We start from the raw sequence: 27,119 nt of genomic DNA, 5'->3' as shown, positions 1-27,119 counted from the left end.
CTCAAGAGTCCTACGTAGGTGACTCCTAAGCCTTAGCATTTACTCCCTTAGACCGTGTAACAGGCCACCCCAATTACGCGCCAAACTCAGGCTGCGGCTCTTGGCGCAGCCTCGGTCCCGCCTGATTTCAGTTTCCATTTCGCTGCCCCTGGTGCCCCACCGCCCGCGGCTGTCTGGGGATTTGCCCGGTGATCAGTGACGTAAAAGAGACTAAGGTTCCCATTGGATGGCGAAGTTCGGCAGGAGCCAATCCCGGGGCTGGTCCGGGAGAAATCTCGGCGAAGGGCCCCGAATAGCCGGGAGATTACGGGGCGGGGACGAGCTGTCGCGCTGGTTGCTCGTGCAGGAGCGGGACCCGGAACAGACCGCCGTGAGAGAGGAGGGGTGCCGGCCGGGATTCGCGGCCCGGAGCTCGGGACCGGTGAGTAGGGGGTGCACATGAGACATACAGCGAAGCAACAGTCTCGTACGCTCACCGGGTTTGGGGCGACCCAACGCAGCCGCCGGGCCCGGGTTCAAAACGGGGCCAGGCCCCCGGGCGGGCTCAGGAGGGGGTCAAGTTCGCTGCGTCCTCCCTGCCAGCCAGATCCCTCCTGTTTGCTTGTCCTTACATTCTCCCCCTCCTCTTGGGTCTTTCTCGCTTTCTGGTATCCTACTCAGACTCCCATCCATTCTAGTCTGCGGAACCAGAAGTAAGCGGGGCCTGGATGACCGTCCGGTTGCTTGGAGCCTGGTAGATAGGCGACTAATCCAGCTCCCTGACCAAAGTGTCATGCTTTCTTTCTCTTTCTTTTTTTTTTTTTTTTTTTTGTTCGGAGTAAACCGGTTTAGCCACAAATACTTGGAGCTGTGCTTTCACTCCTTCCAGCTCATTAGCATTTTTCTTACTGATTTTCTCCCTATTTGGCCTTAGAAAAAAAGTGTAAATTTAACTCTGTGGAGTAAATGGGAGGGACACACTTCCAAATCTCCAGTAGATTTCAAATTTTGACCCACGATTTGTGTGTACTTCAAAAGAGGGGAGAATGACATTCGTTTATGCATGCCTTAACCTCCTGTTTTTAACTCTTAGCTGAAATCATAATCCCTAACATGTTTTTCCCCAAGTTCAAAAAAATCACCTTTAAAAAAAATAGGCTTTTTATGTTTCAAAAATTGCAATTTTATTGTTTAAGTAGACTTTATTTCTTACAACACTTTTAGATTTACAGAAGAATTGAGAAGATAGTACAAACTTCCCACATGCTCCAAACCGGATCCCCTGTTATTAACATCTTACCTCAGTGTGGTACATTTGTTGCAGTTAACCAATATCAATACATTATTATTGACCAAAGTCCATAGTGTGTTCAGATTTCCTTAGTTTTTACCTCAGTACTTTTTCTGTTTCATGATCCCATGGAGGTTACCACATTACATTTAGTTGTCATGTCTCCTTATGCTCCTCTTGGCTGTGGGAGTTTCTCAGACTTGTTTTGATGACCTTGACAGCATTGAAGAATACTGGTCGTGTATGTTGTAGGATGCCCCTCTATTGGAATTTGATGTTTTTCTCCTAAGACTGGGCTTATGGGTAACTGGGAGGAAGACCACAGAGGTAGATTGCCATTATCATCCCATCGTATCAAGGGCATGTACTAACATGATTTATGACTTAATATTGATTTGGGTGAGATAGTGTTTTTCAGGTTTCTCCACTGTACAGTTAGTCTCTTTTCCACTCTTTGCGTGTATTGTCCTCTTTAGAAGGAAGTCACTAAGTGCAGCCCATACCTAGGGAGCCAAGAGTTATATTCCCCCTTCTTGAGGGCAAGTATCTACATATTATTGTTTGCAGTTATTCTGCATGGAAGATTTGTTTCTCTCTTCCCCCAATTTATTAATTTATTCAATCATTAATTTCAGTGTAGACTCAGGGACATTTATTTTATACTTTGGTTTATAATCCAATACTACTTAATTTTGTTGCTCAAATTACTGTGGCTTTGGCTGTTGGGAGCTCTTTTCACATTGGCTCCTGTGCTCTTTCATAGTATTTTTATAGAGCTTTTTGCTAATGAGACACTCGTACTTATGTGACCTTGCCTCAACCTCAAATAGCCTGGTAAACTTGGCAAAATATTTTCCCCTTGTTAAGAGGTAAGGAGACTGAAGGCCTAAGGCAGTGGGTGACTTCTTAGATATCACTTCCTGCAGGGGAGTAACAGGTTGGACTCAGATTGTGTGTGACCACCACAGAAGACACTGCAAACCCCCGAAGAGAGTCCATGGTCTGTATTGAGGCTTCTTGGAATGACTTCAGACTTGGACCCCCCCAGGATCAGAATAGAAAAGACACAGAGAATGGGAAATTGGTTTGAGAAGACAAAAACATAAATTGGCTGGCATCAGGATGAATTAGATTTTGCCAGCTTTATAGAAATGGAATTTTGTTCTTCCCCCCAAAATTGTGTGTGTGTGGAGGGAGGCCAAGAGATATCTAGGTAATGTGTGTGGGCAAGAATGTCTAATCTAAAGAGAGCCCTGGAAGCCTGCTGCTGAAGCAGAATTTTAATGTGGGAAAGGGGGGTGTGTAGTGAAAGGGGGAAGAATGGAGATGGCAGGGCTCTGGAATTAGAGGAGGTCATTCATTTCACAAACATTTGCAGACCCCCTACTTTGTGCCAGATATTGGAGATAAAAAGGTCAGTGAGGCATGACCTTTGGGTTCACATTCTGGTGGGAGAGAAGACAGATAAAAATATCAATTACAGCCACTTATCCATAGCTTAGTTTTCCGTGGTTTCCGTTACCCATGGTCAACCTCAGCCCAAAGACAGTAAACAGAAAATTCCAGAAGTAAACAATTCATAAGTTTTAGATGTGCATTGTTCTGAGTAGCATGATGAAATCTCTTGCCCTCCCACTGTTCCTTCATCACAAGAAGGGTAAGTACAGTACAAGATAGTTTGAGAGAGAGAGAGACCACATGCATATAACTTTTATTACGGTATATTGTTATTCTGTTGTGTTATTATTGTTAATCTATTTCTGTGCCTACTTTATAAACTTTATTACAAGTGTGTATGTGTAGGAGAAACAGGTTTCAGACATCCACTGGGGGTTTTGGAATGCATCTCCTGAGGATTGAGGGGACTCCTGTATGAATGTATCTTTAGCGGATGGGGGGTGCTACTGTATGAAGCACTGTGATAGTGCTATTGTAGAAATACAGTGTATGCAAAGCTGCAGGAGGAGGGATACATTCAACTCAGAGGTGGGATGGGTACAGGAAACACCTCACAGATAAGGGGACAAATTGTATTCAAGCCTTCAAGGATGCGCTGGACTGGAGAGAAGAGCATGTACAAGGGAATGGGTGGAGAGTGGGGAGTGAAGAAGGGGCTGTCTTCCTGGTTCAGTGTATCTAATGGCCAGAGAATTAGGTAGGACGAGGAGGGATTTGGGGCTGGATGGGTAAGTTGGGGCTAGCCGGATGCAGGGCAGGGGAGGATGTCTGTGCAGTTTTTTTTTTTTGTTTTGAGTCAGAGTCTCGCTCTGTCACCCAGGCTGGAGTGCAGTGGCGTGATCTCAGCTCACTGCAACCTCCGCCTCCTGGGTTCAAGCGATTCTCCTGCCTCAGCCTCCCGAGTAGCTAGGACTACAGGCGCGTGCCACCATGCCCGGCTAATTTTTGTATTTTTAGTAGAGGCTGGGTTTCACCATGTTGGCCAGGATGGTCTCGATCTCTTGACCTCATGATCTGCCCACCTCGGCCTCCCAAAGTGCTGGGATTACAGGCGTGAGGCACCGTGCCCGGCCACCTGTGCAGTTTTGACCTCAGCTAGTAGGAGTTTTTTTGGTGTGTTTGTTTTTATTTTTATTTTTATTTTTATTTATTTATTTTATTTTAGAGACAGTCTCTCCCTATGTTGGCCAGGCTAGTCTTGAACCCCTGGATTCAAGGGATCCTCCTGCCTCAGCCTCCCACAGTGCTAGGATTATAGGCATGAGGCACCAAACCCAGCCTCAGCTAGGAGATTTGAAGCAGGAGAATAACAAGGATGAGATCCTGTGTGCTAGAAGGATGATCCTGGCAGCACTTTTTAGGAAATATGCCACATCTCACCAAATCTAAGATGCTATTTGTCTTAATCCATTTTCTGTTGCTGTAACAGAATACCACAGACTGGGTAAATTGTAAACAACAGATGTTTATTCAGCTCACGGTTCTGGCCAATGGACTCTTGCAAGAAAGGCATTAATCCATTCATGAGAGTTACACCCTCATGACCCAGTCACGTCTTAAAGACCCCACCTCTTAATACCGTTACATTGGCAATTACGTTTCCAACACGTGAACTTTTGGGGGACATGTTCAAACCACAGCACCACCAAATCTTTTATGTGCCCTTATTTTATGCTCCACATCAAAAAAATATTTTGCCAGTTAAATTATGACATGCAATTGATCACATTTCAGAGATGCTAAAATGTGATGTCACAGGTGTCTCAAATTTGATGAAAAGCACTAACTCCCTTGCTGATGGCTTAGATTCCTCCCTTTCCCTGGATTAATGGTTAGGATGTCTCCATCTCACTAACTCATAGATGGTAAGTTACCAAGGGAAAGAAGAACAGAAGCTGGGTGGGCCCTTCCCCTTCTCTCCCCAAAGATAAACATTTACAACATTTACTGGTTGGGTCGAGGAGCACAATATCTGGTCTGCTGCTATAGGATTCCTTGGCCTGTTATTGGGCCTGTCTCATGCTGTTTCCTTTTGGGGAGTTAAATACACACACACACACACACACACACACACACACACACACACACACACATATTCTATATCCCATCCTCCAGAGTGGCAAAAATTAAAGCTGATATTATCAGGTGTTGGTGAGGCTGTGGGGCATCATGAGTGCTCATAGCCTGCTGAGCAGACTACATAGCACTATAGTCACTTTGGAAACAGTTTGGCCTGCTTAGTCAAATTGAGGGTACATCTTGCCTGTGTGTGCTAGAACATGTATGCAGAAATATTCACTGAAGCAGTGTTTGTAATTGTCCCAAACTGGAAACAACTCATATGGCTATCAGTAGACTGCATTAAAAATTGTATAGTTAGAGAGCAGCAATTAAGTAAAATCAGCTCATAATCACATGGATGAGCCTCACAAACATGTTGACAGCCCCCCACCCAAATACATGGAAAAAAAAAAAAAAAAAAGGAAAAAAATTCCATTCATTTGAGGCTCAAAACCTGAGAAAATAAACTCTGTTTATGGGGTGTATACCTAGGTCTAAAACTAAAGAAAAGGGAAGGAGTGATTCTCACTATTACAATTTACTCCACAACAACCATTTTCTCAGACACAGCTTTTTCTTCTCCTGGTTTCTGTAAGTTGCTGGAGCGAAACCTTGGATACGATGATTTGCTGGTGACGTGCAGCCCACTGTTCTTGCTGCTACAGGGAATATGAAGAAATTGCTTCTCTCTCTACCAATTTACTACCATCTTGCTGGAGAGAAAGGGCAGGTGGCTAAGATTGTTCGCATTCCTTCAGCAGATGTGTAGGAAGCATCTTCTTTGTGTCAGATACTCTGTGCTTGTGCTTTGTTTTCTCAGTCAGTTTTTATTGTCTACTCTGTGCCAAGTAATATGTAGATTCTGGTGATAAGACAGACACAATCTCTCTCCTTGTTTCATGGAAAAAGCTGGTGTTAAGCGAGTAATTACACTAATAAGTCAGGACTTAAAACTGCAGAGAAGTACAGGGTGCAGCATGGGGTGTTTTGGGGCTGTATAACTAGACTACATGTGGACCCAATCTGACAGGTCAGGAAAGAATTGCCAGAGGAGGTGGCTTTCAGCTGAGACTTCAAGCTAGAAAAGGCATTTGCTAAGTGGGAAAGGGATGGTGTTCTAGGCAGAAGGAATTACATTGTCGAAGGGCTTAGCCAGGAAAGAGCATAGCACTTTGAGGCATGGAGAGCGGTTTGGTTTGGCTGTGAGTTTGAGGTGGGGAGTGGCAGGAAATGAGCCTGGAGACACAGGCTGGGCCATGATTATCTGGGAATCCAGCTAGGATCTCCTGGGACAGCCTCCTCACAGAAGAAAGGAAGGACAGGAGTTTTGACTTTATTCCTGGAGCACCAGAAAGCCATTGAGGGGTTTAACCTGGTTGGTCACCCGGGCAGATTGGCAGTTTAACACGTGACCGAGTGTGTTTGAGGATCAAAAGGCCAGAGTGGCTGCAGCACTGGGGCAGCAAAGGGGAGAGGAGGTTTATGTAAATCAGGAAACCCTTGAGGGTTTGATGATCCCACAGTTGGATCTGATTTCAGCTTCTAAAGGATTCCTCAGGTCACTGGATGTAAGTTCTGGTAGGACAGGGAGTTTGCCACTTTTGTTCTCTGCTGTAACCTCGGTGCCTGACACATAGTCGGCACCTAATAAACATCTGCTAGCTGTTGAATAACTTTCAACATCCTGCTGCTTAAACCCTCAATGGCTTCCCAGGGCTGTTAGGATAAAGTCCAAAATTCTTAACCTGGGTCACAGTCTTGCATAATCTGTTCCCTCCTGTTTCTCCACCCTTCCTCTGCTCGCCTCACTGCACTCCACCTGTGGCCAATTGTCAGCTCCTCAAATTCACCGCTACCCTTTCTCCGGCGGATGATTTCCTCTGCCTGTGAGGCTAACCCTCCACAGCACTCCATATGGGCAGGGAAGAGTTCATTTTCCAGGCACCAAAGTGCAGTGTATGGTGGAATGGAAGGAGCCCAGAGCTGGGAGGTGCACCTCACCCCACCTCGTGCTAGTGCTGGCCTTGCTGCCAGCCAGCTCTGCTGCTGGGCAAATGAGTCCGAGGCTCTGGCACTCACTGTCCTCCTCTGTAAATAAGGGGTTCTAGTGATTCACAGTCCTGGATAGACTTTAGAATCTCCTGGGAAGTTTGTTTTTTAATACCAGAGCCTGGGCCACCTCTGGAGATCCTAAGTCAGTTGGTCTAGGTATGTTTTGAAGACTCACCAGTTTGAAGACTACAAATCTGATGTGTAGTCAAGGTTTGAACCATTCCACAAGATGATAAAGGATTCCTTCCTATATTTGGTGCAAAGCACCAAGTGACACTTAGGAATATTTTAGACAAGAGAGCTTGGTTCATGATTCAACATTAGACAGATATTCTGGCACAAATATGAAGAACCCTCAATTTTCCCCTGTGGGTCAGCCACAAGACCAGGGCAATTTAACGCCTTGTCTCATCCACCTCCCAGCTGGCTGCTACCTCCTGCCCCTCTTTGAGCCCTGTGGGGATTTCTAGCGTTCAGAGCCCTGGTAGTTTTTGTGGCCTGCACTGTGCTTCAGAGCACCACTGATGCTCGGCTCCGTGGGGAAAGTAAGCCAAGTGTGACCACAAGAACGCATCATCCACAGTCACTGGGATCTCCTGGGACAGCCTGGGATCCAGGCCTTTGGCCTGGCCAGTAGGGGTGCAGTCACTCCTAGTATGCACATCCAGATCACTTGCTTTTTGCCCCGAATTCTGGCCTCTCCAGGTTTGTTAGAGGTGTCTCACGGAAGTTTACCCCATGGAGAGTTTGCTTATCTCAGATTAAAATATGGGGATTAATCTGGGACCCAGGAGCCCTTAAATGGAGTACCCACAGGGAATGGAGCTCTAGGCTAAGTGCTTTGGGATTACAGGTGCTTTGCTCTTGTTTGGAGGTCCAGACATATGCTTGAGAAGCAGCTTGGGATACTCAAGAGAGGCCTGAACTGGTACCCTGGAGGCCAGGATGAAAACCCAGGCCTCTCCATTTACTTTCTTGGGCCCCAGAGTCCACATTTGGGATTCACTGTCTACCAGGGCACCTCTCTGGGTGGCATCTAGGAGCCGGAGGCAGGCCAGAGTTTCACCCAGGCTGGAGTGCAGTGGCGCAGTCATGGCTGTCTGCAGCCTCAACTTCCCGGGCTCGGGAGATCCTCCTGCCTCAACTTCCTAAGTAGCTGGAACTATAGGCATGTGCCATCGCACCCAGCTAATTCAGCTAATTTCTTTTTTTGGAGACAATGTCTCACTATATTACCCAGGCTGGTCTCAAACTCCTGGGCTCAGGCAGTCCTCCTGCCTTAGCCTCCCACAGTGCTGGAATTACAGGCACAAGCCCCCGTGCCCGGCTTTCAGCTAGTTTTTGTAGCTCATAGTGATTATTCTTGGAGCCAATAATCGTGCATGCATCCACATCTTGAAATTACATGGTGTCACCTTGACCAGTCTGTTGACATATGCAGATTAGGTATTTATGAGATCCAGAGACTTATAGGGGAGGGGTGGATTTCAGGGAAAAGGGAACCTCTTAGAGAAAGGTAGGGAGTGTCTGCAGTTCTGCCTGTGAGGAGGGTACCAGGACATTGCAGGGCTTGTTTGTTGCATCTTCCTGGTTCTATAGAATTGCAGCTAGCTTCTGGTTTATTTTTTCATTTTTATTTTTTGAGATGGAGTTTTGCTCTTGTTGCCCAGGCTGGAGTGCAATTGGCGTGATCTCAGCTCACTGCAACCTCCGCCTCCTGGGTTCAAGCGATTCTCCTGCCTCAGCCTGCCCAGTAGCTGGGATTATAGGCATGCGCCACCACACCTGGCTAATTTTGTATTGTTAGTAGAGATGGGGTTTCTCCTTGTTGGTCAGGCTGGTCTCAAACTCCCGATCTCAGGTGATCCACCCGCCTCTGCCTCCCAGAGTGCTAGGATTACAGGCAGAAGCCACCGCGCCCGGCCGCTTCTGGTTTATTGAAGAGACAGAAAAATACCCCCTCACCCCCAGCAGGGATGTGTGACCTCTGGTGCAAGGGAGTTCATGAAGTGACTTCTTCAGGTTCAGAATTCTCATCTGAGTAAAGGGAGTGGGGGTGGAGTGGGTCATCTCTGAGGTTTTTTTTTTTTGGCTCTGATTTTGGTTTCTGTCTGCCCAGGAGTCAGGAATGGAGAGAAGGGTAATGGTTTTACCTCTTATTGTGGAAACCTGTTGAGATCACAGAGAATATACTGACGGCATAAAAGGGCAGAACCATAGCAGGGTGCGGTAAGTTGGGGAAGAGTTTTTGGAGAGGGTGAATTTTGCATTGGACCTGACAGAATTGTGTATGGGGAAGGGGAGCGGTTATTCTGGTCTGCTCACATCTCTCATACTCAACCTCATTTCTCCTAATTCTGAAATCTTGAGATCCTCTATCACTAAGAAGGAAAACTACTGTCCAACAGGGACACTTTATTGCTCACCCCATATGTGAAAGTTTGTCATAGCTAAGGCTAGGGTGCTTTTGGTCAGTATCAGCAGAATATATGCCCCCTTTCTTTTGTCAGCATTACTCCGCTTACAAAGCCCTTCCATGTAGATGACCTCATCTGAGCTTCCTAACAAAGGAGCTGGTATTAGACCCCATTTTACAGTGTGCCTGGGTAGGGAAGAGAGTGTAGTGGATTGAGCAGAGGCCTTGGCACCAGACACTGCTTCCTAGCCATGTGCTCTTGGGCAAGTTGCTTAACCCTGCTGAGCCTCAGTTTCCTCAGAAGGAGTCTGTATAAGCAAGGGAAGGGATTGGTCATAGAAGTGGTACTGTGTTTCATTTATCTGGTTATGGCAGACTCTCAAAAACAAATGGTTCTATACAACTAACATTGTCTGCAATTCCCCTGAATCCATTCACTTGTTCAGTAAATGTGTATTGAGCTTCTACAAGGTGTCAAGCACCATGATCTCTGTATCAGTGATTTAACCATTTTTGATGGTTACTACAGACCTCTTTAAGAATGTGATAGAAAACTGTAGCTCCCTCCCCAGAAAACTTTTCTAGCTTTTTATTTTGCTTTGCAGTGAGCCAAGATAGTTCCACTGCACTCGGGGGACAGAGTAAGACCCTGTCTCAAAAAAAAAAAAAAGAAAGGAACCATTTCAAATTAGGTGGGAGACATGGAGCTCTAAATACTACAGCATCCATTGCCTAGAAATACAGGTATTCTCAGCCGGGCGCGGTGGCTCACACCTGTAATCCCAGCACTTTGGGAAGCCAAGGCAGGTGGATCACCTGAGGTCAGGAGTTTGAGACCAGCCTGGCCAACCTGGTGAAACCCCGTCTCTACTAAAACTACAAAAAATTAGCCGGATGTGGTGGTGGGCACCTGTAATCCCAGCTACTAGGGAGGCTGAGGCAGGAGAATCGCTTGAACCTGGCAAGCGAAGGTTGTAGTGAGCCAGATTGCGCCATTGCACTCCAGCCTGGGCAACAAGAGAAAAACTCCATCTCAAAAATAAATAAATATATTAATAAATAAATAAGAAGTATAGGCATTCTCATACATAACCTCAGTAAATACCATTAAGAAAATAATTTTAGACATGGTGCAGTTGCTCATGCCTATAATCCCAGCACTTTGGGAGGCTGAGGTGGGAGGATGGCTTGAGCCTAGGAGTTTGAGACCAGCCTGGGCAATATAGTGGCAACTCTTCTCTACAAAAACCTTTAAAAATTAGCCAAGTGTGGTAGTATGCACCTGTTGTTGCAGCAACTCGGGAGCCTGAGATGAGAAGATTGCTTGAGCCAGGGAGGCCGAGGTTGCAGTGAGCCCAGATAGTTCCACTGCACTCTGGGGGACAGAGTAAGACCCTGTCTCAAAAAAAAAAAAAAAAAAAAGAAAGAGAGGAAATAATTTTTTAATATGATCTAACACCCAGCCTACTTACAAATTTCCCACAATAGTTCCAAGACTATTTTTATAACCTTTTTTTTCTTTTTACAGGATCCAATCAAGGTTCACGTATTGCATTTGGTTATTATTTCTCTTTAGTCTGTAAAAATCAAAAGCAGTTCTTTCGAAGGTTTTTTTTTATGACATTGACTTTTTAAAAGACTAGGCCAGTTGCCATGTGCAATGTCCAGCATTCTGGATTTATCTGGTTCTTTCCTTATGGTGTGGTTTAATTCCTCCATCGGTACTTTTTCAGTTATAACATACTTCAGAGTATTCCTTTCCTTTATATTTTTTATAAACTGGAAGTTAGATCTAAAGTCTTGACTAGATTCATTCAAGTCAAACATTTTTGGCACAAACACTTCATAGGTAATGTTGTGTGATTCATATAGTGCCATGCCAGAAAGCACATGCCACTTTGCCCCGTCTGCTGATGACGCTGGATTTGGTCACTTAGTTAAGATAACCACTGGATCTCTTCCTTATGAAGGTATGTCAGGAAGTAATCCATTCATTGGTGCTTTGGCACCATGGGTACTATCTCATCCCCCAAAACTTTTCACCTAATAGTTTTAGCATCTATTGATGATCCTTGTGCTATTATAATGGCAGTCGCAAAATGATTTTCTAATTCTGTTATCCCTCTTCTACTTATTTGCTGATTAATCTTACAGAAGGTTATTCTTCTGTAATCCCCAGACAATTTTAGGTATCTAGTACATATGCAATAATTTTTAGACAGTTTCAGGAGGTTTAGAGACCATCAAACCCCAGCATGGAGCCTGGGTGATGAGGTGTCCTGTTTTGCATGGAAGAAGAGCTGTAGCTGAGCTCTTCATAGTCCTTTTATTGTTCTTATTTTGCAAGTAAATTGCAAAATAAGTTCCCAACCCAAAGATAACACAGGCTATCCTTCAACAAAGAAAAACCTCAGCTTTTAAACTTCTAGGCCATTTGGCAAAGAGGCATGATAAAGGGCTTGAAAGCCCACAGACACGCCCAGTACCACTCCTTTTTCCTCTTTCCAAACACTTGCAGTATGTTACAACTGAAAAACTGCTGAGCCAGGCTTATTTCCTCAACAGTAAAGCCAAGGAGTTGGACCAGGCAATTCCTAGCATTTCTTTCTTTTTTTTTTTTTGAGATGGAGTCTCACTCTGTCACCCAGGCTGGAGTGCAATGGCACGATCTCGGCTCACTGCAACCTCTGCCTCCCGGGTTGAGGTGATTGATTCTCCTGCCTCAGCCTCCTGAGTAGCTGGGACTACAGGTGCATGCTACCACACCTGGATAATTTTTGTATTTTTAGTAGAGATGGGGTTTCACCGTGTTAGCCAGGATGGTCTCAATCTCCTGACATTGTGATTCACCTGCCTCGGCCTCCCAAAGTGTTGGGATTACAGGTGTGAGCCACCGTGCCCGGCCAATTCCTAGCATTTCTACCAGCATTACTAACATGTAGGAACTTGATATTACTTTCACTTGACAGTTAAATTCCTTGAATCCTTCATTTGAGCTTTGAAGGTGCTTGATTTTCCCCTCATTATGTCTCTTAAAGTCACACATACCTAGATCCATTAGTGCTTCCAGTTGGAATTTATTATCAGCACTATAAGAATCTCTTATATTTATGTAGTCCTTTTACGTTATAAAACACTTTTTATGTATTATTGTACTAGACCCTCAATGAGTGGACGTTATATCCCTGTTTTGTTTACTCTTGGGTCTTATAGACTGGGGGTTTTATTTCTGTCCCATTAATGTCACTACTGACAGAGGCCACTGAACTCTGTTGTGATGGACTTTCACCATACATAATCATTAATAGTATTGATTTGCCTGTAATTCAGGTTGCTTCATTCCAGCCTCGCAGTCACCTCTGTGCCCTGCTGGTTGTCTTCCCAGCGCTGCTGTAGTTGCCTTCCATGGATCTATAGGAGAGCAAGTCCTCCAGGTACTGCCCTGTGACGATGTTGTTGAACTCTGTAGCACGTGTGTCACTGTGGCTGGTTCTGCTCACTTCCTCTTTTGCTGCCACTTTTGAATTTAACTCTTTGTTTGTGGTTTGGACACTCACTGGATTTGGAAACCAGGGGTTGTGGGTTCTCTCCTAGATTTCCGTCTGTGTACCAGGCTTGTGCTTAGCACTTTTCCCATAATTCTTTCACATGACCTGCTTAGAAACCCTTAAAGGTAAGTATCACTCTTCCCATTTTACAGATGGATACACTGAGGCTCAGTACTTAAGTGACTTCTGTATTGTCACACAGAGTCAGGGGCAGGAGGCTGCTCTTGGGTTAGATGTGCTGAGGCTCATAACCTCAGCCTGGAACTGGGTCAGGACTACAAAGGTAAACAGAAGCAGAGTCCTTTCTGTGTGTCCCCGCTCCCTGTACAAGCCAAGGCCTCACAGCACATAGCAGCCACAGCCACCTGAGGATTCCTGCCATCTAGACGAGGCAGTTACAGCCAAGAACAAGTCCACTGAGGCTAAGCTGTGCTCCTCTGGAGGGCTGTGTTTAGAGTCCAGCCTTCTAGGGGAAGCAAATTAAACCCAAACTATAGAACAGCCCAGGGAAATACTCACAAAGGGAAATGCTGACAGTCAGACTCCTGAAGCTTCCTGATGCTTCTCGAGTTTTGGTAAAGAACCTCAGTGCTGTTTGTTTGTTTGTTTTTTAATGTTTTCTGGTTTTTTGTTTGTTTTGAGACAGTCTCTTATTCTGTTGCCCAGTCTGGAGTGTAGTAGTACAATCATGGCTCACTGTAGCCTCCACCTCCCAGATTCAAGTAATCCTTCTGCCACAGCCTCCTCAGTAGCTGAGACTACAGATGCATGCTACTACACTGGGGTATTTTAAAAAATTTTTAAATTTTTTTAGTTGAGACAGGGTCTCACTATGTTGCTGAGGCTGGTTTCAAACTCCTCGGTTCAAGTGATCCTCCTGCCTCAGCCACCCAAAGTGTTGGATTTACAGGGTGAGCCATGTCACATTGCCCTCTCTTAGTTCTTGAAACCTGAAACCTTGAGGAGCAAACAAAAGGGGTCTCTTGGCCAGGTGCAGTGGCTCACGCCTGTAATCCCAGCACTTTGGGAGGCCGAGGCAGGTGGATCACGAGGTCGGGAGATCAAGACCATCCTGGCTAACACGGTGAAACCCCGTCTCTACTAAAAATACAAAAAATTAGCCAGGTGTGGTGGTGGGTGCCTGTAGTCCCAGCTACTCGGGAGGCTGAGGCAGGAGAATGGTGTGAACCTGGGAGGCGGAGGTTGCAGTGAGCTGAGATCACGCCACTGCACTCCAGCCTGGGCGACAGAGTAAGACTCCATCTCAAAAAAAAAAAAACCAAAAAAAAAAAACGGGCGGTCTCTTGACTCTGTCAGGACCCCCATGACTGCTCGTGTGTCTTGTGCTTTGCACAGTTGAGTGAAGGAGCACTGTGTCCACAGTAGACATTGTAGATTTATATGTGTATCATTATGAGTTTCCCAGCAGGTAGTGAGAGATTTTTTATTACAGTTGGTGCATTACAGCGATTTTCCAACAGATAGAAGGAAAGGGTGTTGAGGCTCTCCCAACAGCAAGGTATAGGCTAGTGGCTGTCCTGCTCTTCACTCTACCAAGCTAATCTTTCTGGGTTTCCATATCCTTATCTGTACAATGAGGAAGTTGGACTAGATCTATAAGGTCCTCTTCTCGTTGACATTGTGTGAACCTTGTAGGAGCTGGTGGTGTCTGTCGATTGACTGAGTGCTGGAGCTGGCAGCCCTGTGCAGGCTGCCACCTTTGCCCCTTTACTGTGCTTGCTCCTGACTCTATGTCGCGTCTCCAAGGAGAAGAAGTCCTCACCAGTGAACGGAGACCTCTCTGAACTAAGGATACCATGGCCACGTCAGCCCCACTACGGAGCCTGGAAGAGGAGGTGACCTGCTCCATCTGTCTTGATTACCTGCGGGACCCTGTGACCATTGACTGTGGCCACGTCTTCTGCCGCAGCTGCACCACAGACGTCCGCCCCATCTCAGGGAGCCGCCCCGTCTGCCCACTCTGCAAGAAGCCTTTTAAGAAGGAGAACATCCGACCCGTGTGGCAACTGGCCAGCCTGGTGGAGAACATTGAGCGGCTGAAGGTGGACAAGGGCAGGCAGCCGGGAGAGGTGACCCGGGAGCAGCAGGATGCAAAGTTGTGCGAGCGACACCGAGAGAAGCTGCACTACTACTGTGAGGACGACGGGAAGCTGCTGTGCGTGATGTGCCGGGAGTCCCGGGAGCACAGGCCCCACACGGCCGTCCTCATGGAGAAGGCCGCCCAGCCCCACAGGGTAAGCCCTCTTCACCCCCGAGGGTGCCTTGCCACCTTCTCTGGATGCTCCACCTTGCAGTCCTCAGAGGACTCAGCCTGAGTCTCCCTTCCTGCCCCAGCCCAGAGCATCCACCTGTTGCCACTGCTTGTTTTTCCACAGGAAAAAATCCTGAACCACCTGAGTACCCTAAGGAGGGACAGAGACAAAATTCAGGGCTTCCAGGCAAAGGGAGAAGCTGATATCCTGGCCGCGCTGGTAAGTGAGGCTGTTTCAGGAAGCCCTGAGGCGGTGCGCCCGTGTAGGGCAGGGTGAGCCTGGGCAAGTAGGCGGCAGCTGGGAGGTGTTTCTAGGCGCTGCTCACAGGGAGGATGGGTGTCAGCCTGGCAGTAGCAGACCTGGGTTTTAGCCCAAGTGCTGTCTTTCTGAGCCGTGTAGTCTTGGGCCTGTTTCTTGTCTGAGAGACAAGTGGGCTGCCTGGATGTCAGCTAGAGTCCCTTCCGTTTTCTGTGACTGTCACCTTGAAGGCAGGGCCCATGTCCAGCTGCTGGTTCTCTTCTGCCAGGGGACTGAAGAAGGTGTGGCTTCATTCTTCCTTTCAAAGAGAGAGAGAGAGACAAGGTTGCCTGAGAGTGGAGAGGGTTTAGAAGGAGGGAGCTGGCTCCAGGGTAAGAACTGAGAGGGAAGGGCTAGAAAACAGCTAAGGCAGGTCTGCCAATTCTGATGGCACTGTATGTAGTGAGGTCCAGGCCCAGGATCATGGTTGCCAGTACAGTGGGACCTCCTCCATATCTGTGGGTTCCGTAGCGGCGAATTTACCCAACCATGGATCAGAAATATTCAGAAAAAAGAAAAAGCGTCTCTACTGAACATGTACAGATTTTTTTTCTTGTCATTATTCTCTAAACAATTCAGTGTAACAGCTATTTATATAGCATTTACATTATATTAGGCATTATAAGTAATCTAGTGATAATTTAAAGTATATAGTAGATTTTATGTAACTATTATTCCATTTTACATAAGAACTTGAGCATCCTTGGATTTTGGTATCCTTGGGGAGGGAGATCCTGGAACCCATCACCCACTGATACCAAGGGACAACTGTAGTTAGAAAACAGGCAGCACATTATGTACTTGATTAGAGATGGGGTTGGGGGGAACTGATCAAATGGTTCTGATTTTCTGGGGAACTGTGTATGTTGAGGAAGTGGGCAGTGGAGGAGTAGTGGGGTCAGGGCCAGTGGTGAGTCATTAGGCCTAGGGAGAGGGAAACAGTAAGCTAGAGACAGCCAAGTCCAAGGACCCCTCCAGGCCCTCAGTGTGCATGGCTGCCCCCAGCTCAGCACCAGTCAACAGGGCCACTGAGGACTCCCCCAACCCCAGCTGGGGAGGAGATTTGGAGGCAGGAAAGGACATAGTCCCTAAGCACAGACGTCACACAATTTTGCTGAGGAAACAGGATGCAGTCTTACATGGCAGGGGTGGGGTACATATAGATATTTTAGACTGAACAGTGGGGTGCTGAAGAGAGGGCTGGTCAGGCTTAGATGACATTAATCAAGCAAAACTTCCTGGAAGAGGTGACAGATTTTGTCCAGGAGGGAAAAGTGCGTCGGCTCATGAGTGAGACCCACAGAGTTTCTCTAGGGGCCCCAGAGCGTACTGGTTTAGCTAGAACAGATTGTGGCTGACCAGTCAGGTGGAGACAGGGTTTTGACCATATAGTGGTGGGGTGAACTGAACTAATTCATTACTGGAGTCTTCTTTGAGAAGCGGAGTGTGGACCAGGAACCCTCTGTAGCTCCTCCCACTCCAGATCCTGTAGAATTCCTGAACGGGGGTAGCGAGGTGAACGAGCCAGCCTTGCACACCTCCAGCACTGGGCCCTCCACCCTGAGCAGAGGTGTCAGCCCTTCTCCCCTTCCTGCCCCCTGCAGAAGAAGCTCCAGGACCAGAGGCAGTACATTGTGGCTGAGTTTGAGCAGGGTCATCAGTTCCTGAGGGAGCGGGAGGAACACCTGCTGGAACAGCTGGCGAAGCTGGAGCAGGAGCTCACGGAGGGCAGGGAGAAGTTCAAGAGCCGGGGCGTCGGGGAGCTTGCCCGGCTGGCCCTGGTCATCTCCGAACTGGAGGGCAAGGCGCAGCAGCCAGCTGCAGAGCTCATGCAGGTGAGAGGCCGTCCCTGGGCAGGGCGCCAGGGACCAGGACGGTGGGTCCCAGCCCTGCCATTCACTTGCAGGACCTTAGAAGACTTGGGGGCTCAGTTTTGTCATCTGAAACATGGAGATGATAATCCTTACTGCTGCCAATTAGTCTGTAGATTGCATGAGCATAAAATGAAATAACTGGCATGCTGTCACTTCAAAAAATAAACTTTTTACACAAAACTGTTCAAAAAACTAAATGGTATAGTAGAAAATGGAAGGGAAGATTATTAATATCATTTACCATCCTCCATCCTCATCACTGCCATCACAAGCCCTCTTAACAAGTCATTGGCAGACACTTAGCAGCTGGTGGAAGCTTTTTATGGTGTTGTGGTTGGGGGTGGCTGAGGGAGGGCTGACCAGCAGCTCCTCTCAAAGACCCAGAGGATCTGGAAGAGATAGGGTAACTGGGGAAGGGAGACAGAGATGGCCAGGTTTTCTTTGGCCCATGGGATTACCACACAGAGAACAAGATGGAAAGCAGACAAGGGGGCCTCGGGGCACCTCCTAGAGGAGGGGGCTTTGATAGTGAGAAAGGGAGGGTTTGGGGCTGAAGAACTGGCTGTGAAGCTGAAATGGCACCACATCTCCTCCCCCCCGGGAGCCTCTGGGGATCACACTTACCCTGAAGAGGGCCCAGTCCCCTTTGGAGGGGTAGAGGGCTCAACCTTCCTGCTCTCATAGGCTGGGAGGGGAGGGGCTCTCTGATGGTATTCCCCCACTTGCACTGTTTAGGGTGGCTGGGTCTGTCTGTCAGCAGCAGAGCCACCCAGGATCTCTAGGAAGGTGGAGTCCCAGGCTAATGGCAGGGCAATAGCTAGGAGGGAGAGATAGCAAGGCAGACTCTGCAGTATGTGCACTGGGACAGACTGCAGAAGGAGGCGGCCACCTGCTCCTCATTGTTGTGAATTCAGATGTACAGAATGAGGACTGGCAGGGATTTTAGACCTTCCAGTTCAGCCCCTACTGATGAAGTCACTGAGGTCCAGAGAGTGGGAGGAGTTTGTCCCAGGCCATGGGGTGGGTGTCAGGTCACAGCTTGAGCCCAGATGTCCTGACTCCTGGGCTCTGAGCTCTTGTTCTTATTTTGTCCAGAATGTCTCTCTGGCCCCCTCTTTTCCTCCAGATGTCATTCTGTTCTCTCAGATTTCTCTCGTCATACTCTTTGACTGGGTCATTTTCTGCATCTCCTTTTGCCCGTTTCTCTTCTCCTTCCTCTCCTCACGCCCCTGCCATGTGTGAATGCCTACTGTGTGGAACAGAGGCACACAGCTGAGGATGTGGTGGGGCTGAAATCCATTGTGTTTGCCCGGAGGGGTGCCTTTTCCTAATGCACCCAGAGAAGTGGCCCTCAGAGCAGAAGCCTGGCCCTCAATGACTCAGAGCACTCAGATTGCAGCTCTCCCTGGGGTGGGATAAGGTCAAGGGAAGGGAGAGAAAATGGTGTCAGCTTGAAACTAGTATAGGAAATGTTATTGGTACTGGTAGGTTTCTTTTTTTGTTTTGTGTTTTCTCTTTTAATTTTAGTGCTATATAATGTATATATTTATGGGATGTAGAGGTTTTTGTTTGTTTATTTTTGAGACAGAGTCTCGCTCTGTCTCCCAGGCTGGAGTGCAGTGGCGTGATCTCAGCTCACTGTAATCTCCGCCTCCTGGGTTGAAGCAATTCTCCTGCCTCTGCAACCTCTGTCTCCTGGGTTCAAGCGATTCTCCTGCCTCAGCCTCCCAAATAGCTGGGATTACAGGCGCACATCACCACACCTGGCTATTTTCTGTATTTTTGGTAGAGTCAGGGTTTCACCATGTTGGCCAGGCTGGTCTTGAACTCCTGACCTCAGGTGATCGCCTGCCTCAGCCTCCCACAGTGCTGGGATTACAGGCGTGAGCCACTGTGCCTGGCCTAGAGTGATACTTTGATACAAGTATATAATATATAATAATCAACTCAGAGTAATTAGTATATCTGTCACCTCAAACACTTATCATTTCTTTGTGTTGGAACATTCAAAATCCTCTCTTCTAGCTTTTTGAAAATGTATAGTAAATTATAGTTAATTATATTCTCCCTGCAATGCTGCACAACACTAGAATTTATTCTTCCCATGTAGCTATAACTTTGTATCTGTTAACCAACTTCTCCCCACCCTCCTCTCCCCAGCCCCCTTCCCAACCTCTAATCATTACTATTCTACTGTCTTACTTCCATGAACTCAAATTTATTATGGATGAATAGTACTCCATTGTGTATATATGCTACATTTTCTTTATCTATCTGTTGATGGATGCTTAGATTGAGTCCACATCTCAACTATTGTGAATAGTGCCACAATAAACATGAGTGTGCAGGTATCCCTTTGATATACTGATTTTCTTTTCTTTGGATAAATACCTAGTAATGAGATTGCTGGATCATATGGTAGTTCTATTTTTAGTTTTTTGAGAAACTCTCATACTGTTTTCCGTAACGGCTATACTTATATGTAGAAAAACCTAAAGGCCCCACCAAAAAACCCTTAGAACTAATAAACAAATTCAGTAAAGTTGCAGGATACAAAATCAACATAAAAAGTCTACTGCATTTTTAATACACCAATAACAAACTAGCTAAAAAAGACATCAAGAAAGCAACCCCATTTACAATAGCTACAAAAGTAAAATAAAATACCTGGGAATGAAGTTAACCAAGGAGGTGAAAGACCTCTTTAATGAAAACTACAAAACACTGATGAAAGAAATTGAAGAGGACACAAACAAATGGAAAAATATTCCATGCTTGTGGATTAGAATTAATATTGTTAAAATGACTGTCCTACCCAAAGCAGTCTACAGATTTAATACAATCCCTGTTATCAAAATACGAATGACATTCTTCAGAAAAATAGAAAAAAAACTAAAATTCATATGGAGTCACAAAAAACCCCAAATGGCCAAAGCAATCCTAAGCAAAAAGAACAAAACTGGAGGCCTCACACTATCTTACTTCAAAATATACTACAGCCAGTTGTGGTGGCTCACACCTGTAATCCCAGCACTTTGTGAGGCCGAGACAGGCGGATCACGAGGTCAGGAGTTTGAGACCAGCCTGACCAACATGGTGAAACCCCATCTCTACTAAAAATACAAAAATTAGCTGGGCGTGATGGTGCGCACCTATAATCCCAGCTACTCGGGAGGCTGAGGCAGGAGAATCACTTGAATCCAGGAGGCAGAGGTTGCAGTGAGCCGAGATTGTGCCACTGCATTCCAGCCTGGGCAATAGAGTGAGACTCCATTAAAAAAAAAAAAAAAAAAATATATATATATATATATATACACACACACACACACACACACACACATATATGTATATATATATACACATATATATGTATATAGATACATATATATGTATATATACATATATATATATATACTACAAAGCTGTAGTAACCAAAACAGCATGTATTGATATAAAAGCAGACACATAGACCAATGGAACAGAGTAGAGAACTCAGAAATAAATTCACATATTTACAGCCAACTGATTTTCAACAAAGGAACCAAGAACATACAATGGGGAAGGGACAGTCTCTTTAATAAATGGTGCTAGGAAAACTGGGTAACCAACCATACGCAGAAAAATGGTATTGGTAGATTTTGTCTGTGTGCTTATTTGAGTTTGATTGTACTGCGTGGGAACTGGACAGCTACCTCCCTAATTAGCATTAATATTTTCCCAGAGATTATTTGGCTGTCAAAGTATAGTAAGAAAAAGACCTAAAATAGGGTCCAGAAGTCTGATAGAGAAATACAGGTGAGGCTGGTGTGGTGATTCACACCTATAATTCCAGCACTTTGGGAGGCTGAGGCAGGCAGATTGCTTGAACCCAGGAGTTTGAGACCAGCCTGGGCAACATAGTGAGATCCTGTCTCAAAAAAATTAAAATAAAATAGAAATACAGGTGAGAGGGAGAAGCAGCAGGACAAAATGTGTAAAATAGAAGAGACCTTTTGATAGAGGTGATAGGAAAGGAAAGACAAACCTATGGGCTGGGAGCATCAAGAAGACATTAAAGGGATTGGGGTGACAGGAGAGGCCCAGAGAGACACTGCATCCTGCCCTGGTAACCCGGGCAGGCCCTGCAGGATCAGGTGGCATGCTTGTACCCTGCTTCTCCTGCTGTACACCCCCGTGAAGAACTTTCTTGATGCTCTCTCTTAGTAACCGGGCACATCCCCTCCGGGAGCTTGCCATGACTCATTGCCGCAGCCCCACTGCTCGGCTCTGCCTGTTTCATGACAGCTTCAGATGTCTTGGGTGAGAAGAGTCCTCCAGGAGACTTGGGCGGATCACTTCCCTCCAGAGGCCCTGTATGTGGCTGTGGATGGGGGCTCCTGAGTCTTTCAGCCTCTTCTCCTCAGGGCCAGCCCTGCCCTGGCTCTCGGGACCCACCCTCTCTGGGCTGCTCACAACCTTTAACCTTTAGAGGACTCTTCTTTCTCCTGTATGATTCTCTCCCTTTCTACTGTTCTAGGAACTTCCATGTCAGGAAATATGCCCAAATGGGCCTCTGGCCCACACTCCAGCTACTGCTCCATTCATTTGCTCTTTTATGCCACCTTTGTCAGCAGAGCTGTCAGGACACACTGTCTGTTTTGTTGCCTGTCCTCTGAAGCCGCCTTGGACTTACATGTTTTGAGGGGCATGTTAGAGGACTTGGCCAGAAATGTGCTACCAGTCTCTGGGCACTTGCTTCATAGCGGGGGGTTGGGATGTGCCTCTGACTTCTTGTCTTATTCCTCTGGAGTAAAGCTCACAACTCTTCCCAAACTTTTGGAAGCAGTCATCAGCAGCCACAATTTGTTAATTCCATTTGTTTCCCAAATCTCACCCTCTCCAGGAAGCCAGCCTGCACCCCACCGGCCCCTGCTCCCATCCCCCTTCACTCTGCTCTCTTTTCCCGTGGTGCGTATCACTCACGTAGTATGATGTATTTGCTACATTGATTATTGTCTGCTTCCCCCTGCTAGAATGTCAGCTCTACAGAAGTAGGGATTTGTCTCTCTCTCTCTTTTTTTTTTTTTTTTTTTAACTGTTCTGAGGCTTCTAGATGAGTGCCTGGTACCTAGGAAGCACTTAATAAATATTTGTGGAATGAGTGAAAGGAAGGCAAAAATCAATTAATACAGGGTATTAAGGAGGCTTTTGACTCACAAAAGGGAATCTGAGCATGTCAGAATAGCCCTCTTCCCACTCACCCTGCCCTACCACCTGTCTGTCACAGAGATAGCACCACCATTCTCCCCCCTGTACAAACCATGCTCTGTTCTTGTTTATCCTTGACCAGTATGTCCAGTTGAATCTGTCTCTAAAATACCTGGAATGTATTGCTTCTCTCTTTTTCTCCCTACTGCCACCACCTTAGTTCAGGCCATCTTTAGCTCTCCCCTGGTCCACGGCAAAAGCCTCCGGACCAACCTCCCCATGTTCCTCTTGCCTCCTTAGTCCCTTCTCTGTGGGGCAGCCAAGTGAGTGGTCACTTAGGGTTTTGGCTCACTGCTGTACAGTGACGCAAACAGAATAGAAGTTTATTTCTGCCTCAGTTAACAGTTCAGAGGTGCAGGGTCTAGAGCTATCACAGTAGCTGTACATAAGCTTATCCAAGGGACTGGGTTACTTCCATGTGGTTCTTCCACCAGCTTCTAGGGATGTTGTCCTCTGCTGCGTGGTCAAAGTTGGGCTCACCACCACCATGTCCAAAATTCAGTTGGGGTAAAAAGGAAGTAGAAAGCAATTTTCTTTTTTTAAAGGACAATGCCCAGAATTATGGTCATTGCTTTCTATCACATTCCATTGGCTGGAACTTAGTCTCATGACCAGACCTTGTCGTAGGGGATCTGGAAAATGTAGTCTTCCCAGGTGGCCGCCTGACCAGCAATAACTCCGGGGGTTCTATTATTAAAAGGAGGAAGGGGAGAGTGGACTCTGGAGGTTACACAGCAGTCTCAGCCACATGTAGAGCGGATCACACATATCATGCCCCTACTTGAAACCCTTGGTGGGTTTCCACTGTACGTGGAGCAAAAGTGAAACTCCTTACCATGCATATCCAGCCCTGCGCAGTCTGGCCTCTGCCGTTCTCACCAAGCCCTTTCCTGTTTTACCTTACCTCTCTTCATCCGGCCAGTACTTCTTATCCGTCAATTCTCTGCGCAGGTATCTCCCAGAGAGGTTGCCCATGTCATCTCCCAGCCATTGTGGCTTCTGTCATTGTGCCGATTTTGTTTGTTTTCTTGTTGTTTTATGCAGTGACCCCACTGGAATGTCAGCTCCATAAAAAAGGGACCACATTTGTTTTGTTCACTGATATGTCCCATCTCTGCTACAGTGTTGGGTGCAGATGCATTGAAGTCTTATTTGATTCATATTGATACTTGTGCTTTTTTCTTTCCCTTCTAGGACACGAGAGACTTCCTAAACAGGTAAAAGAGTCTCCTCTCCATGGCGTACCTCATCCCCCTTGTTTATGTTCCCCCGCTTCTGACCAGGTGCATTTGAATTCATGGGGAGTGGTATGGTGCCAGAGGTACTCACATCCCATGGTTCATCCTGATGCCCTTCTGAGGAGCAGGACACATCATTGAGAACTGGAGACTTGCTCTCCTCCTTATGGTTCTCTGTGTAGCCCCAGCTCCTTGGCCCACTGGCCTTATTTGAGGTGGGACAGAGCAGAGAGGTTAGAAACATGGCTTAGTAGACAGAGCGCCCTGGATGTGGAGTCTACTGATGTTCTGAAGCCCTGGTTCAGCTGGTGTCTTTGGGCCACTGTTTTTCTGTCACTTGTTTGGGGATAATCATACCTTTCCTCTCCCCTTCATAATTGCCATGAGGATTGAGAGATAAGTATGAAGGAAAGTAAGAAGAGCTGAGTAACAGCTTGTTATGTATGTCATCTTCTTAGGTATCCACGGAAGAAGTTCTGGGTTGGGAAACCCATTGCTCGAGTGGTTAAAAAAAAGACCGGAGAATTCTCAGATAAACTCCTCTCTCTGCAACGAGGCCTGAGGGAATTCCAGGGTAAGGGTTGGGGAGCGCACAAAGGGTGGGAGTCAGAGCAGGGCTACCTCGTAGAAAGAGCGCACCCAGCTCCTTTCCATCACCTTGTCGATCCTCACTCTTCTGAGGGCCTCTTGTCTTAGACATGGATCCCTATCAGGAAATTGATACTGCCCGAGCAAGAAATGGGCTCATAAATTTTCGGGACTTGAGTCATTGCTGTCCTTTTTTCTCCCCAGGGAAGCTGCTGAGAGACTTGGAATATAAGACAGGTGAGTGTCTAGAGGGTGTTTCCCAGATGTACATCAAATATAGAAAACTCCGCCTGCAGAGATTCTGACTGCTCACTTTTCCCCCAGGTAGCCCCTTTTGCAACAGGAAGAATTTCCCAGCTGCACAATAGAAGCCCCCCTCCCTCTTTGCACTTTCTAATCAGCCTACTCTTTAGTCTGCAGTAGAGGCCTCTGCTTGCTAGTCTGATCCTTCTCTGCCCTGTGTTTGCTTTTCTTTTTCCTATCCTCACAGGTCCTACCACCAGTCCTTTTCCTGTGGCCGAGCTTTCTCTCATCTTCCTGGCTGCATGGCTCCTATATTCAGAGCAAACAGCAGGGGCAACCTAAGACCAGAGGCCATATCCACCACAGGCCCCACTATTGTGCCCCCTCTCAGCCCTGCAGTTAGGTTGTACACTGCATACCAACCACCAAGGAGCGCCATCCACATAGACCAAGATGTGAATGGTGCCCCTTGGATTGTGAAGACTGGTGGTCTCCTCCTGGCTCACTTTCACACTTGCTTTCGTGAGAACCATTGAGGAGGTCGGCCTGTCTGGGAGCAAACGAGGCCCTGAGAGCTTCATCTAGTTCACAGGATAAAATCCCATAGCAGAACTGAGTTAGCAGTGGTTAAACCTTAGGTGGTTGTAGCTTCTTTATTAATGTCTGAGCTGTCTGTGAATACCGTCAAATTTTACCTATCAGGTTATTCTAATTATAGAGAATCCTATGAGGATGATGGTGAGGATTATCCCACTCTGTCAGTACCTGTTCAGGGTTTCTTGAACCATCTTACAGAGCAGGCTGGTAGTTTTGAAACTGAAATTGAACAGTTTACAGAGACCCTGAATGCTTGTGTTACAACAGATGATGCTTTGCAAGAACTTGTGGAACTCAGAGGCCACATCTGTCCCAAATTTCTTTTTTTTTTTTTTTTTTTTTTTTTGAGACGGAGTCTCGCTGTCGCCCAGGCTGGAGTGCAGTGGCGCAATCTCGGCTCACTGCAGGCTCCGCCTCCTGGGGTTCACGCCATTCTCCTGCCTCAGCCTCCCGAGTAGCTAGGACTACAGGCGCCCGCCACCTCGCCCGGCTAATTTTTTGTATTTTTAGTAGAGACGGGGTTTCACCGTGTTAGCCAGGATGGTCTCGATCTCCTGACCTCGTGATCCACCCGCCTCGGCCTCCCAAAGTGCTGGGATTACAGGCGTGAGCCACCGCGCCCGGCCTTTTTTTTTTTTTTTTTTTTGAGATGGAGTCTTGCTTTGTCTTCCAGGCTGGAGTGTAGTGGTGTGATCTCAGCTCACTGCGAGCCCCGCCTCCCAGGTTCACGCCATTCTCCTGCCTCAGCCTCCTAAGTAGCTGGGACTACAGGTGCCCACCACCATGCCCGGCTAATTTTTGTATTTTTAGTAGAGATGGGGTTTCACCATGTTAGCCAGGATGGTCTCGATCTCCTGACCTTGTGATCCACCCGCCTCGGCCTTCCAAAGTGCTGGGATTATAGGCGTGAGCCACCGTGCCCAGCCCCAAATTTCTCTTACATGGGAGCTCACCTGTGTAATTACCTGACATCATCTGACAGTTAGCACAGAGAGTAGCACCTTCCGCCAATTTCTACTTCAAAGATGTCGGACTGAATATGACATTAAAGATCAAGCTGCAAAAGGGGATGAAGTTACTCCAAAACAATTTCATGCATTTGTACCCTTTCTGGGAGAGCTTTATCATAACCTGGAGATCAGAGGAACAAATGGACAGGTTACAAGGGCAGATATTCTTCAGGTTGGTCTTCAGGAGTTGCCGAATGCCTGAATGCCCTCTTTTCTAATCCCGTGGATGACAGCTTAATTTGTGCAATAAAATTGCTGAAGTTGACAGGGTCAGTTTTGGAAGATTCTTGGAAGGAAAAGGAAGGACTGATATGGAAGAAATTATTCAGGAAATTGAAAATGTTGTTATAGATGCAAGCTGTGGCAGAGACATGAAACAGATGCTCTTGAAGCTTGTAGAACCCCAGTGCAGTAATTGGGGTAGAGTCCATGCAACTTCATCATACAGAAATACAACAGCCAAAAAAGATCCCAATTACTATGTGAATGAACCAACATTTTATAGTGGTCATTCACATAGTTATTGTGTTTCATAGTGTTCCTTTCACTGCAGCTGATCCGGATTACCAAGAAGCATATCAAGAGTTACTTGAAAAAGAGGACTTTTTTTCTGGATTATGAAGAAAATGGAACAGATTTTTCAGGGACTGGTGATCCACACTTGGATGATATTAATGATGAGTTGGACCCAGAGATCCAGAGATAGAGGAAGCTTATGAAAAGTTTTGTTTGGAATCAGAGCGTAAGCGAAAACAGTCAAGTTAAATTTCAGTATATCATGTTTATAAAGCAGTTTAGTTATGGTGATTTAGCAGAATACAAAGCCAGAAAATGTGTCACACTTATACCAAATTAAGGATGTTGAGTTATATTACTAATGTATGCAACTTTAATTTTGTTTAACGCTATCTGCCAAAATAAATTTTATTCCCTCTGACTTAAAAAAC

At 46.5% G+C, this 27,119-nt stretch overlaps 1 protein-coding gene and 1 pseudogene across 13 annotated transcripts in view, besides 4 other annotated features; both read left to right on the top strand.

Moving 5' to 3' along the window:
- Positions 320-27,119, top strand: part of TRIM26 (tripartite motif containing 26) — a 28,952-nt gene continuing 2,152 nt past the window's right edge. The window contains exons 1-9 of one of the 13 annotated variants that reach the window (XM_005249375.3): positions 320-421; positions 8,961-9,070; positions 12,603-12,691; positions 14,573-15,060; positions 15,202-15,297; positions 16,980-17,210; positions 23,691-23,713; positions 24,193-24,308; positions 24,527-24,559. In XM_005249375.3, the coding sequence (XP_005249432.1) occupies positions 14,623-15,060; positions 15,202-15,297; positions 16,980-17,210; positions 23,691-23,713; positions 24,193-24,308; positions 24,527-24,559 (937 nt within the window). In that variant the 5' untranslated portion in view covers positions 320-421; positions 8,961-9,070; positions 12,603-12,691; positions 14,573-14,622. Of the gene's footprint in view, positions 422-8,960; positions 9,071-12,587; positions 12,692-14,461; positions 15,061-15,201; positions 15,298-16,979; positions 17,211-23,690; positions 23,714-24,192; positions 24,309-24,526; positions 24,560-27,119 lie in introns of all 13 variants that reach the window. The other 12 variants (XM_005249376.3, XM_005249374.3, NM_003449.5 and 9 more) reach the window with 12 other exon arrangements.
- Positions 5,373-6,320: an enhancer, noted in NCBI's record as "NANOG-H3K27ac-H3K4me1 hESC enhancer chr6:30175183-30176130 (GRCh37/hg19 assembly coordinates)". NCBI's record gives its function as "activates a minimal SCP1, AML or CMV promoter by ChIP-STARR-seq in naive H9 embryonic stem cells {active_cell/tissue: H9 hESC(naive)}" and the evidence as "EXISTENCE:reporter gene assay evidence [ECO:0000049][PMID:30033119]".
- Positions 11,140-11,824: an enhancer, noted in NCBI's record as "NANOG-H3K27ac hESC enhancer chr6:30169679-30170363 (GRCh37/hg19 assembly coordinates)". NCBI's record gives its function as "activates a minimal SCP1, AML or CMV promoter by ChIP-STARR-seq in primed H9 embryonic stem cells {active_cell/tissue: H9 hESC(primed)}" and the evidence as "EXISTENCE:reporter gene assay evidence [ECO:0000049][PMID:30033119]".
- Positions 11,825-12,510: an enhancer, noted in NCBI's record as "NANOG-H3K27ac hESC enhancer chr6:30168993-30169678 (GRCh37/hg19 assembly coordinates)". NCBI's record gives its function as "activates a minimal SCP1, AML or CMV promoter by ChIP-STARR-seq in primed H9 embryonic stem cells {active_cell/tissue: H9 hESC(primed)}" and the evidence as "EXISTENCE:reporter gene assay evidence [ECO:0000049][PMID:30033119]".
- Positions 18,548-18,748: a silencer, noted in NCBI's record as "peak5749 fragment used in MPRA reporter construct". NCBI's record gives its function as "represses an SCP1 promoter by STARR-seq MPRAs in K562 erythroleukemia cells {active_cell/tissue: K562}" and the evidence as "EXISTENCE:reporter gene assay evidence [ECO:0000049][PMID:32103011]".
- PAIP1P1 (PAIP1 pseudogene 1) lies at positions 25,083-27,116 on the top strand (annotated as a pseudogene).

The sequence above is a fragment of the Homo sapiens genome, chromosome 6 (genome assembly GCF_000001405.40).
Source record: "Homo sapiens chromosome 6, GRCh38.p14 Primary Assembly".
Taxonomy (NCBI): domain Eukaryota; kingdom Metazoa; phylum Chordata; class Mammalia; order Primates; family Hominidae; genus Homo; species Homo sapiens.
Note: the sequence above shows the minus strand (reverse complement) of the source record. Positions and strands in the feature narration are given on the sequence as shown.